General features: G+C 39.2%; 1 protein-coding gene and 1 long non-coding RNA gene across 2 annotated transcripts; one reads left to right on the top strand and one right to left on the bottom strand.

Annotated features, from left to right (window-relative positions):
• Positions 1-5,742: 5,742 nt before the first annotated feature.
• On the bottom strand, positions 5,743-8,718 carry FIBIN (fin bud initiation factor homolog). The gene has a single exon (NM_203371.2). It carries the CDS (start codon positions 8,301-8,303, stop codon positions 7,668-7,670), a length of 636 nt encoding a protein of 211 aa, NP_976249.1. The 5' UTR covers positions 8,304-8,718; the 3' UTR covers positions 5,743-7,667.
• LOC124902650 (uncharacterized) lies at positions 8,719-10,931 on the top strand. Its single transcript, XR_007062630.1, has 2 exons — positions 8,719-8,847; positions 10,468-10,931. It is a non-coding gene; the product is annotated as an uncharacterized LOC124902650 (long non-coding RNA).
• Positions 10,932-13,865: the final 2,934 nt, after the last annotated feature.

Here is a 13,865-nt window from a genome sequence, read left to right as displayed (position 1 = left end):
ATGCTTACTAGAGTCAAAATAGAATGTTGCATGGCCTTACTAAATTCAAGGCAATGTAGAATACTGAAGACATTGGAAATCCTCAAGAGAGCATTTTTATATTTAGATATAGCTTATATTTTTTATATTTAGATACAGCTCTTGTGAGGAAAAATGCAGAATAAGTACAGACGCAGTGATGACAAGAGATCACTGATAAAGGGAAGATGTGTAAACTCTAATGCAATGTTTATATGTAATTGTAAAATATGTGAGGTATGCATGTGGTTGACTCTTCACCTTTATAGATCTGTCGATTCTAGTCCATAAATAGGGTAAACAGGGCTTGGGCTGGTGGGCAGAGTTGGGACTTAGAGTCAGAGAGGTCGTCTGGAATCCATACATTACCTGATATAGTTGGGAAGAGAAGCTAAATCCCATTCATACATTTCTTTGAGAGTCAGGAGAGGAAGGTGGTCAAGAATCAGAAGGAGGCAATGCTAACATCAAACCCAAAAGGGGATAAATGGAATTAAAGATGGAAAATTGGATAAATGTAGGAGCAGGTTGGGAAGAATGTCACAGATTTTTTTTTTTGGGAAAAAGCCGTAGTAGGACATATCGGTGTAAGATAAACACCAGTTTCTGCCATTTTCACCGCTACTACCTTAGACCATCATCTACAATCAGCATATCTTAGGATATACCTGGCCAAGTGGCCTTCCTGCTTCCACTCTTGCCTCCCTGTAGACTAATCTTCCATAGTGGCCTTTTTGTGTAAATCAAGTAATACTACTCCTCTGCTTAGACACCCCAGTGCCTTTCCACTGAAGTCAGAATAATATCCAAATTTCTTATTATGGCCATCCAGTTCGTCTGTTACCAAACCCCAGTTGTTCTCTCAACCCAAATTCTTTTATTCTTTCTCTGATTTATTCTGCTATAATTCCACTGTTTTTTTTCTTCTTTTTTTATCATGCATATAAAGTTGTGTCTGCTTGAAGGACTTTTTAGTTGCTGTTCTGTTACCAGGAACAGTTTTTCCTCTGACATTCACATTCTTGGCTTCTACCTAAGATTTAAGATTCAATTCAGATATCTCCTACTTACTCAGAGGGGTCTTTTTAAACCTTCCTGTCTAAAATAGTACATAGCACTTCCTAATAGTATATATTTTTTAGTTTGGGAGACCTGTATGGACAAGAAATCATTTTTTTTTTTTAAGACAGAGCCTCACTCTGTTGCCCAGGCTGGAGTGCAGTGGCATGATCTCAGCTCACTACAACCTCTGCCTCCTGAATTAAAGTGATTCTCATGCCTCGGCCTTTCCCAAGTAGCTTGGATTACAGGCTTGCACCACCACACCCGGCTAATTTTTGTATTTTTTGTAGAGATGGGGTTTTGCCATGTTGGCCAGGCTGGCCTTGAACTCCTGACCTCAAATGATCCACCCACCTCAGCCTCCCAAAGTGCTGGGATTACAGGCATGAGTCACCGTGCCTGGCCTAAGAAATCGTTTTATATCTGGATTCAGATATAAAATATAACAGAATGACAGAAGAACTTGCTAGCTGTGAACACTGGACTGCAGCCTGCCAAATGGTGAATACCATAAACTGTCTATGCCAGTTCAGCATCTATAAAAAATTGTTATAGTCAATGTGATAATGCATGTGAAAGGGCCTGGAAAATGTAAAAGAAGCCAGTTGCTCTTAGGCAAAGAATCATGGAGTGATACATGCAGGTATCAGGAATTTATATTTTACCCAACATAAATTCAAGCAGAGAAAGAAAAAGTTTCTTCAAGAAAATGTGATTTTGAATTTTTTCAATTAATAAAATCATATAAGAGAAATATTCATTTTGGAGGCCATTTATCATCAATCCTAGAATAGGAAGACAGTTAGCAAATTATGTGTCCAGTCTACTGCCTTCAGAAAGGGAAAACATCATTCAGGGACTATCAGGAAAGCAAGGTGGTCAGACTGTGTTTGAATATTGACTCCATTCCTGTCTAGCTAGTTCAGGAAACGTAGTTATTTAACTGCCTGCAAGAGGGAACTTTTAAACACTTAAGCTCTTTGTGTCTTATTTTCTTTATCTGAAAAATTTATAAAATATAACATCAACCTGGAATATAATTCTAACCAGATTATATAAAATAATATGTGGAAAACACTTTGAGCAGTACCTGTTTAATAAACAGTAGCTATAATTATCTTCATCTTGCAAACAAAGTGACTGAGTTTCAGAACATTTCAGGGACTCATTCAAAGTTACGTAGCCAATACATTGTGAGGCAAGATCTAGAACCTAGAACTTCTGCCTCCTGAAACATTGTGGATAGATCTAAGCATTTTAAAAACATTTATGCAATTAAATATTCTTAACACCTGAAATAGACATTGGTACAAAACAATGTATTTATTATAATAATTTTTCTAAAGAGAAAATATATACATAGATATGCATGAAAAGTATGGAAAGAAGTATACCAAAATGCAAACAGTGAGTATATGGCAGAAGGAGTTTGAGAATATGAATAATTTTGTTTTTCTTATGCTACTGTGTTTTCTATATTATTACATTTGGTAGATAATGACTTTTTTTTTTTTTTTGAGACGGAGTTTTGCTCTGTCGCCCAGGCTAGAGTGCAGAGGCACGATCTTGGCTCCCTGCAAACTCTGCCTCCTGGGTTCAAGTGATTCTCTTGCCTCAACCTCCCGAGTAGCTGAGATTACAGGCACCTGACACTGTGCATGGCTAATTTTTGTATTTTTAGTAGAGGCGAGGTTTCACCATCTTGGCCAGGCTGGTCTCGAACTCCTGACCTTGTGATCCACTCACCTTGGCCTCCCAAAGTGCTGAGATTACAGGCTTGAGCCATCACGCCTGGCCGATAATGACTTTTGTAATCAGAAAATTGTTATTGAAAAGGCTAAACAACAATAATACTAGCAGCAAGAATAAAAATCCTGCATGTCTTGAATGTGTGTTTATGCCAAATCTTTGTTTTATTTGCACTGTGCTAAGGTTTGAATGTTTGGGACTTCCAAAACTCATGTTGAAATTTAATTGCCATTGTAGTAGCGTTAAGAAGTAGGACCTTAATGAGGTTATAAGGCCGTGAGGATTCCATGCTCATGGGTGTGGTTGGTGACAGTATAAAAGAATGAGTTTGGCCCCCTCTTGTTCTCTGTAGCCTTCTTTCTTTCCACCATGTTATGACATAACAAGAAGGCTCTCACAAGATGCTGATACCTTGATTTGGACTTCCCAGCCTTCAGAAATGTTAGCTAATAAATTTCTGTTCATTATAAATTACCCAGTCTCAGACATTCTATTATGGCAGCACAAATCAGACTAAGACACACTACTCTACATTTTCCAGACAATTCTAATTTAGATTCTTGCTGAGATCCCATAGAACCTTCTACATACTCCAATCTCCCACATTGCTGTACTTAAATTATTTGTTTAGGTGTCAGTTTCCTCACATATTTATAAACTATTATTATCCTGGGTACCTCATATAGTGGCATATTAAAATATTTAATGAATGATATATCCATCGAGATCCTGACTTTAGAAATAGTATTCCTAAGGACCACTTTAACTCCACAATTACTAAGATGACTGAAAGAATCTCATTTTCTATACTGGTTAGTTATTGTTGCAGCTTTTTGTATTCTATTTCAAACCAAATCTTCTTATGTCTCCAATTATTTTTTCTTTTATATTAAAATATTCATAAACCATATTTAGCATTTCTATTTTCTATCCAATATTATTATTCCATATAAAATGTTACATCCCAATTTTACATGGAATTTAATATTACATTCAATATCAAAAATAATTTAATAATCCTCCTCTGAAAAATGCATCAGAAATTTGACCACACTGCCCCTTAGTGTGATTTCATATCATTAGTGGGTTTCATGGACATTTTTATAACTCACTAAAATAGTTTATAATCTAAGTTTCAAGGCTCCTCCAGGGAAGTTTTGAGCCCATTTCCTTAGCAGAGTTGTAAATGAGAGTTTAAAAGGCAATGAAAAGTCTGTGAACTATTGGACACAGCTTCTTGGTACTGCTGTGCATAACACACCTGCTGGCTTCTTATAGCTTCTGATGGCTTCCAGGAGCCTGGCTTTGGTGGTTGCAGAGGCTAAAGTAGCCTGGTGTCTTTCATCAACGGCCTCCAGATAGATACCTGTAGAACACTTCAAAATAGTGATATAGATGTTTTCACGTGGTCCAATTGAGAGAAGAATTAGTGGTACTGAACAATGCATCTCCCAGAGAAAGTATTAATGAGTAATTCTATAAACAGGGAAGCCAACCAGCTTCTGACTGCCAGACATTATCAAGGATCTGAACTGCAGAGGACATTTAAAGTGGATAACTGGAGGCCCCTTTAATCCCCTATCTTCCACATTCTTCTTTTATTTGCTCTTATATCTCATTAGAGAATCATCAGTTAAAACTGACAGCATAGTAAGGTATATAAGATATCACACAATTTTAGTCTTGAAAATAGTACCTAGGCTTTCTAGGCCTGAGCAATAAAAATAATGATAATAATAAAAACAGTAATAATAGCAACTAACATTTATTGAGGATTCACTGTGTCTCAGGTACTATTCTAAGTGCTTGACATGTATTACTTCATTTTATAAAATGCTTTCCTCATGCAGTTTGTCGTAAGAATTAACAGAAATGACCCAGACAAAGTTCTTAGCACAGAGCCTTACCAATAATATTGACTTTTCTGAAAAGTTAGCTGTTTTTCAATTGTTGCTATACTTAACAACAACATCAACAACAATAATAAATGCCTCCTGTTCCAAATAAAACTCTAAGAGGCTTTTTAAATTTCTTGATTTACAGATGAAGCCCCAAGGCTTTTTAACATCCCAGAATGACCCACAGCCCAGCTTAGTGCCTGGCACAAATTAAGTAGTCAATAAATATAAAAATAATTAATATCCTAACTTATATAGATTCATTTGCAAGTAGATTTTGCAGAGAAGAGAGTGTGTAGTTTTCTTTCGATTCTCAAAATAGTCCATGGTCTAAGAAATAAAAAGAACCACTACTTGAAAAGGGAATTTGTCACTGCGTGAATAACAAGGTCTAATAAGAATCATGAGGAAGTGGGGAGGAAAGATGTGAGTGGGTCTGGCTCCCCACCCTAAGCAGGTTTGGAACAGCCTTGTGATGTTATTCTCTGGGCTAGCAGTTCAGGATTGTTTCCTCTCCCCACCTGGAAATTCCCATTTGCCCTCTGAGGCCATTTACATAAGACTGTGGGATTACTGGCTGTACATCTAGGCTTGAGTGGAGTGACTGGATGCCAGATAATTTCGTTCTGGTTTTGTAGGAATCATAGAATGTTAGCACTGGAAAGAACCTCATACATAATCTATTTCAGGGTTTTCAAATTTGTAGCAGATGTGTTACCATTCCCCTTCCTGCACCCATGGAAGATATCTCTAATTAGGGATGACACTCTTCACTTCTGTGTCTTTTGAATCCTTGATAACATAATATGGTATGGAAGCATTACCAATAGATTGAAATTAGCATGCACAGGGAAAACAGTTTTCCATCACTATCACATGCCCAATATCCTCCCATTACAGCTGGGAAAATCAAGGAGATGACATTTGTAAGTCTATGAATTACCAAATGATCACTATGAAGTGAGTGATATAAATGTTTTGAGGCATGAATGATTGTGACTTCAAACTACAAACATTTTAGTACCAAATATGATTTTATTTGCCACTGTTGTTATTTTTTCCTCATTTTTTCAGAATAAAGAAGGAAACTACTTTAAGTGATCATTAATCTTCTTTCTACACACAAGTCTAGAAAGCAACAAAAAGTGGGGCCCTGAGTAACAAAAAGAAGTTATAATTGATTTTAAGTACAGTAAGTTAAGCAAAATTTCAGGCATTCGACCACTCTCTCTCATTTTTCAGTATCCTTAAAAAAATTAGTTCGGGAAGTCCCGTGTTTAAATTTAAGAAGACCAGGGGCTGTTATAACTGATGGAGGATAAGTCATTTAGCCTTTCCCAGCCTCAGTTTCCCCTTCTGTAATAGAAAGATATTAGACAGTTCATAGGAATGGAAAACTTATTTTCTTATTCAAGGGAGAGGAGAAAATAAATGTCTGTTGAACAGAAGAATATGAACATTTATTTATTTTCGTGTGTGTGTGTGTGTGTATCTGTGCATATATGCAACAAGAAAGCATATTTAAGGTGAGAGTAAGAATTAGCTAGGGAAAGACATTAAATAAAGTGCATCTCCACCTTTTGAAGCCATTAATTAAATAATGTAGACCTGGCTTCAAAATTAAACATCACTGTAGTTTATAACTTAGGATGGAATGCTTGCTCTGCATAAGGGTACAGGGTATGAGCCTTGTCAGAAACTTTTGCAATTGAATTTATGAGAGAAACTGGAGAAAATTTGAGTCTTTAAGCAGACCTATAGAGATCAAATTTAAAGTTTGGGCAATGGCTAGATTTGTTTTCTTGTGAGGATGTCAGGGTGACTACAGAGAGGAGAATTGCCAAATATGTAGCTATTCCTCTGCCTTCTTTATCATATACTCTAAGTAAACTGGCTTAAATCCAGTCCTTCTCTCTCCTTTTGCATTGGCCCCTTTTAGAAATATGAAAGTTACAGATGTAAATTACAAAGTAAGCCAGTATTACATGAAAACATGTTTATTGCCTGAATAATAAAACTTAGCTAAGGAGTTATTAGAATTAGGATTCCCCCTACTTGAAGTACAAGTTTCCAATAAACAGACAGACAGAAGCAAAACCCCAAATGAGAAAGAATACATTGGTAACCTAAATCATAGGCATTTGTGGGTATGTTCATACAATCTACCTATTTCTTTGTAATTTACTATAGCACTGATGACAAAGCATAGACATACAATGAGAAAGAGCAAATCAGCATATCAGTGTGACTGTGCAACCACTACAAAGCTTGGCCTTCTTAAATGTGGCCACTTTAACTTACACACACCCACAGAGGCATCAGAAATCTCCCTGCAAACACGATTTGCCTATAGTTTTGTGGCAATACTGTTACATAGAACAAAAACAACTCTCAGACCATGGTTAATAAATAAGAGAGAAAAGAAGTAAGAAACAACTTCCATGGGTTGGCAGGCATGCAAAGCAGCACCTTGAACCTCATTTGAAAAACAGGCAACTGGGATAGCTTTTGGAGCCCAGGAGTGAAGGCTAGAGGCTGAAAGGAGCTATGCACTATTATCTTTGGGTATTTCCACATAATCTGCAGGATGGGGAAGTTTAATTCCGCACCACATAAACTGTGCTCTTTTAGATGTGGCTGAAACGGGTGTCTCTGCAGAATTAGAAACCCATCTAGAAATGACATTGCTTAAAATTGTTCTTTCCAGGTGACAATTCCATAACAATCACATAAATAATGTACAAAAACAAAACTAAAAACAAAGTCACTCAAGTGTCCAATTTTTCTCTTTTGAAAGATGACCTTAGATGTATTCTCAAAGTGCAAATCGGGATATAAAAAAATAGTAGGTATGGGGGAAATGTAGCCCCATCTTCTGTCCCCCACCCTCCAAAACGGGGCTGATTTGATTCCCTCTTTCTAGCATTTGTATCCTTCCACCTATACTTTAAGATAATCATTTTTCAGCCGACCTAGTCGGGTCCCATGGCTCCTAATGGTGAGGGCCAGCAGCTCGTATTTGTCCCTGAGCCCCACAGAGATGTCCAGTGTCTCCTTCAGCAGGGACCTGGTGTGGACCAGCATTCCCAGAAAGTCCTCGTTGAGCCTGCTCTCCTGCCGGCTGTCCTGTTCCTGGCCCTGCTTGAACTTGCTCTCCAGCTCAGTGAGGGATTTGTCCGAGTTGGAGTAGGCATCCCCGATCTGGTGGGACTCCCGCCGCAGGTACTTGCCATAGCTCTCTTCCCCGTCTAGGTCGTAGGAGATGCTTTTGCTGATGCCCTCCAGCACGCGCCCAGCATCCTCCACCTGGCGGCCCAGCACGGTGAACTCCTCCCGCAGGGTGAGGCTCAGCAGGCTGCCAACCTGGCTCCCCTCCCCCTGGGAGCAGCGCCTGTGGTCACTCACCCTGAAGAGCAGCTGGCACTTCTCGGGGTCATCGTTCTCCTCATAGTCCCCATCGGGCACGAAGTAGTGGTGCAGAGTCCCATTGGACATCTCTGGGTAGAGGGGGCCATCGAAGTAGCCTTGACACAGGTGGCAGAAGAAACTCATGCAGAAGAACTTCAGAAACACCATTCTGGATATTCAGGATGGCCAGGGACCCCAGGAGGAGACTTTTTACCCAGGCACAAGGAAGGGAGTGTCTTTGCGAGTCAGCGTCTCCCTGAGACAGCGTCCGCCTCAGTCCCAGCTGGCTTGCTGCTCCCTGGCCCCCAGTCCCCAGCAGGCTTCATGTGGCTCTGCACACCAGCGTCTGGGTAGCGCGCCCGCCGCAGCGCAGGATGCACCCACCCTTGCGCCCCTCGCTCGGTGACTGGAACTCCTCCGGCACAGGCGTAGCGGGGAACCCCTCCTCCGGGGCCCTGGCAAGATGCTGGCTCTGTTGCCCTCCTCTCGGAGTTTCCCCTTGCTCCCGGGAGATGGAGTGTGTAGCTGGAGAGAAAGGCTCTTGCCCCCTGATAGTATTTCAATTTCTGGACTGGGTGGGAATGCGGAGCTTTTCCTTTGGCTAAAGATATCCTGAGGATCTCTCTGCTCTCAAATTACAGCTGGTTTCGTCACTTGGAAGCCAGGGAACAAGTTTGGAAAAGAACCTCTCACCAGGTCTCCACTATTAAAGGTACAGGGTCGCTTTTTAAAGGTTGGAAGGGAAGACTCTACAATAGAATTTAGCTCGAAAGAGAAAATGAGAAGAGAATAAATGGAATTTCCACCACAAAAACCCTGGTTTGTTATTGACATATTGGGAGGGGGAAGGAATGATTACCCTGGAAAAATGCCATTTCACGTGTCTCAATAAATATCAGGTTGGATTTTCTGAGTATATCTATTTTTATCTTTAAAACTTTGTGACTTTGAAGGCAAATTTAAAGTGTCAGAAATTACAGTTTTGTTTGAAAATGATTGGTTAATTAAAATTTATATCAACAATACTTTGGATGAAATGAAAATACAGAAAGTTGCTTAATGTATAGTCTTTAGTATGTATAAGAACAGAAGCAGAAAAATGAAATTTTGCCAGCTTAGTGAGTTAAAGGACAATGAGATCCTTATTTAATTTTATGAAACAATGCTAAGCATCTGCATTGAATCTTGAACCTAATGCTTTTATAGTTGTTGCCTCTTTTGAGAGTCTTGAAAGCTTTTGAAGAATGTTTCTGGTACTATTATGCCCATTTTCCAGATGGAGAAATGAAGGAGCAGAATGTTAAGCAAATTGATTATAGTCACACAGTTAGACTTTAGTTGAGCCAGAACTAATTGTCACAAGGTCTTTTAATTTAACTTGGGGGGAGAAAAACAATGTTTTTTTTTTTTTTTTTAACCTGGCCATTTTAATTTCTAATTTATGAACTTATTGGCAAATGGCCATCCTAAAGGCCATTCATTTGTTTAATGAATATTTCTTGAGCATTTACTGCATGCCAAAATCTATTTGAGGTAGTGGGAATACAGCTGTGAACAAAAATAAAGACAAATCCTTGCCTTCCTGGCACTTATATTTTGGGAAATAGAAAACTTAAATTTTTGAAAATAGGTCAGGCGTGGTGGCTCACGTCTGTAATTCCAGCACTTTGGGAGGCAGAGGTGGGTGGATCACTTGAGGTCAGAAGTTCGAGACCAGCCTGACCAACATGGTGAAACTCCATCTCTACTGAAAATACAAAAAAAAAAAAAAAAAATAGCTGGACATGGTGGTGCATGCCTGTAATCCCAGTTACTCAGGGGGCTAAGACAGGAGTATTGCTTGAATCCAGGAGAGGGAGGTTGCTGTGAGCCTAGATCGCACCACTGCAGTCCAGCCTGGGTGACAGAGTAAGACCTTTTCTCAAAAAAAGAAAAATATGTAAATAAATAAGATGTAAGTTGGACATCAATAGGGCTGTGGAAGAAAAGAAACAGAGGAAGCATGGGAAAGCAGAAGCAGGCAGCACTCCTGTTTCTATGGGTATTTTCTCCTTCTTCCTTGAAATGTAACTGAAACATTCATGTTGACTTGCCAGTGTTCCATACCTATCTCCCTCCCCAAGTAATAAGGGACTGGCTTCATTCAGACTCACAGTGCCACACTGTTCTGGGACAGTTATACTCATTGTCATCACTTTCATGGATATAAACAACCCAGACTCCTGCAGAGAAAATGAGAAGTCTGGTTAAGTAACTTGATATTTTGCTGATGTGGTATCACATGCATGGAGTTTCTGAAGCATGTTGACTGCACATTTTCATTCTTATCCAGATACTTAGCATCATGGAAACATAGACCAAAGGAGTTTTCTTACTGTTTATGCCAAGTGGAAGACCAAGGCCTATTTTCACTCTATCCCAGAAGAAAACTACAACTTCCTTCAGTTGAAAGACTGGACTGTTGGACTCAAGAGCTACATTGCTTCATTCCTTTTTCTCTGGGACATTCAGAAATGACAACAGATGGATTCATATTGGCTGCTTGGCCAAAGAAGCGAAGAGGAATTTACTCTGATTCATTCCATTTCTTGCACAATCTCTCTCTGACTTACTAACCAATTCAATTAAGCAAACCTATATTAAGCACTTACTACTTGCTCCCCACTTGCAGGGTGCAGTATTAAGGTAACTACAGACACAAAGATGTGCAATAAGAAGTTTCAGCCTACAAAGAGCTTGCTCCCTGGTTGAAGAGTCGGGCATATACCCATATAAAGTTATCATACGAAGGGTGAAGAGTGTGAAGAGTGTTTACTTTCTTCCTGCAAAGACCTCATCTAAAGATACACACTCCATATTGTGTATTAGAAAGGAATCATTTTTGTACAAATAACTAAAAGTCCACTTCAGTCTAACTAAGGGCATTAACTTACAGGAAGCCTAAGATTAGATATTCAGAGAAGGCCTAGTCCAACCTAGTTTTTCTCTCACTATTTCTTGGTTTATGTCCTCAGCTTATATTCATGCATGGGCAGTCTCTTTCGTTTGTGTTCTAAGATGATTACCAGTGTCTTCCAGAGCTTTGTGCTTCTTTATTCATATGTAACAGGAATGACAGATTGAATTTCCTGGTAGCTCAAATGCAGCTCCCTCAAATCAGCCTCAGTGGTCATGGGTGGCCTGATTTGGATCATGAATATGTCTTCAAACCAGGCTTACTGTAGTGAGATTTGGGATTAAACCACTTTGCTTAAGACAATAAGGGCCCCATTCTGTAGCTGAAGGCAAGGTATCAAGCAAACTATATGGCTGGGTTATTTAGTGTTCTGTTAAGGAAAGGAACAGTATGGGAGTACATTCTGGGGAAGTAACCATGAATAATTCCCCTACCTTATGGTTTTGTCTTCATTAACCACATCGAAGAGAAACTGCCACCCTTGCTGATAAGTGTTGATCAGTTGGGTATATGGAGGAAAACACCCTGATTTGTAGTATTTGTTGATTTCCTTAGTCTAAATACTCTCACAATGGCTAATGTCATTGAACTCAAAGTTGGGAAGACATGCACAGTGGTATACCATTATATAATCATCATACAGATACATTAGATGCAAATAACCCCAAGAGAATAGAAAATAGTAAAAATCTAGTAAAATAATTAAGAAGTGATTAGTTTTGCGTATATATTCCCTTTATTTTAACATAGCTTAGTTAAAAGTTTAGTTTATTTATTTATTTATTTAATTTATTTTTTATGTATTTATTTTGAGACATGGCCTTGCTGTGTTGCCTAGGCTGGAGTGCAGTAGCAAGATCACAGCTCACTGCAGCCTCAACCTCCCAGGCTCAAGTGATCCTCGTGCCTCAGCCTCCTGTGTAGTTGGGAGTACAGGTGTGCACCACCATGCCTGGCTAGTTTTTGTATTTTCTTTTGTAGACACAGGGTTTCACAATGTTGCCCAGGTTGGTCTGGAACTCCTGGGCTTAGGGAATCTGCCTGCCTTGGTCCACAAAGTGTTAGGATAACAGGCATGAGCCACTGCACCCGGCCAGTTTATTTTTAATAATGTCCATGTTTAACAACTGACTTGGAAAGTAGCACAACATGGCCTTCTGGTTAAATGCTTCATGTTCACTTTTAAAATGTTTTTAGTTCTGTTGTTCATATGTGCCCAAGTCCATCTTGGGCTGCTAAGGTTAGAACTGAGGTGGGTTTCTGAGGGTTGACCTAGAATGAATAAAGCCAGAGGAAATGTCTAAACACAGAGATGCCAGACAGAGGACTTTGAAGAGTAAAATCAAGAAGCACCATCTGTAGATAAGGGCAGTAGTTGAGTTGCATCTACGGCTGAAGACCAGGAACCAAATTAAAGGACAGAAACTGGGTGCATGTAAGCATAAAGGAGTACCTCAGGAGTAATGGCCAGAGTCGTATAAGTAAATAGATGAGCATCATTGCCCAATTCCAGCCGCTTATATACACAGTGCCAGCAAAATTTGCTAGCTCAAGAATTACTTATGCTTTATCATTTTCAGTGCATTTTAAAATTTTCTTTAGATCATTTATCACTTTAGAGAAGAAAGTAGAAATTTACATTGGAATTATGAGCCTAAAGATCTATGTGACAGATCTTTAAATTCTGTGACTTCTCCTTGTCAAAGGTTTTTGTGATCTTCTTACTATTTCTGATTATTTTGATAGAATAACTTTTATAGAAAGGAGTATAAGGAGGTTTTGGGGAGATTAGGTTCCACTATGCAGCCTAGAAACCCAAAGGGGAGATGGAAACCCTCATTCTCAAGATTCCCTCAAACTGTCAGGTTGAGTCCCTGAACCGTGTCAAAGGAGAAAACAAAACAAAACAAAAAAACACAACAAAAACGTGTTATTCTAAACCAGAGTAGGGGTCTCAAGGTGGAAGGAGAGGGGAAAGCAAGAATAGAGGGGGAGATAAGGGGAAGGACATAGAACTTAGCGCTTTAGGGATTAAAAAAAATCAATTAATAGGTAATCAGTAGCATTTACTGAGCAGACATTGTTTGCAGAAGGTGAAAAGGACAGAGGGGGAGAAATGGATAAAAGAAAGAAAGAAAAGCAAGAAGGGAAGAAAAGGTAGCGAGGAAGGAAGGATAAAAGGAAAGAAGAAAAGAAAGGTGAGAGTGAAACAAATTTTGATTATTTAGTCTGTGCTTTCTGTTATGTTAACTCAATGAAGTGAATATGATTATTTACTACAAGAACATTGGTTAGAGGCAGAGGGAGAATTAATTAAAAAGAATAATCACAAACAAACTTCCTATCAAATATAGAGAATAAAACACACCTATGAAGACAATGAGAATGCTTGCAAGGAAATAAGTATAATGTGGGAAGGGAGTCTGATCAATTCTCACAACCTTTCTGTATTAGTGAGAATATCAGAATATGCTTTGATATGCTATGATAACAGATGTCACAAAAATGCTAACATCAAATTCAAGTTCACTGCAGGTCAAGGTAACTCAGCAACTTTCCTCTATATAGCAACTCTGATGCACCTTCTGCAACGTGGGACCTCCTCGGTTGGTGCAGCAGGGGACCAGGGCTCTGGAGAGTCTTGTGCTGTACTTGAATGCACTGGCTCAGAAGTGACACATGTCACTTTGGCATTACAGCCCTTTGGCTAGTGACATGGCCCTGCCTCAGTGCAAAGAGAAAGGGAGTCTTACCCTTTTATGTGCCCAGAAGGA

This window comes from Homo sapiens, chromosome 11, assembly GCF_000001405.40.
Source record: "Homo sapiens chromosome 11, GRCh38.p14 Primary Assembly".
NCBI lineage: Eukaryota > Metazoa > Chordata > Mammalia > Primates > Hominidae > Homo > Homo sapiens.
This window is presented reverse-complemented; position numbering and strand designations above follow the sequence as displayed.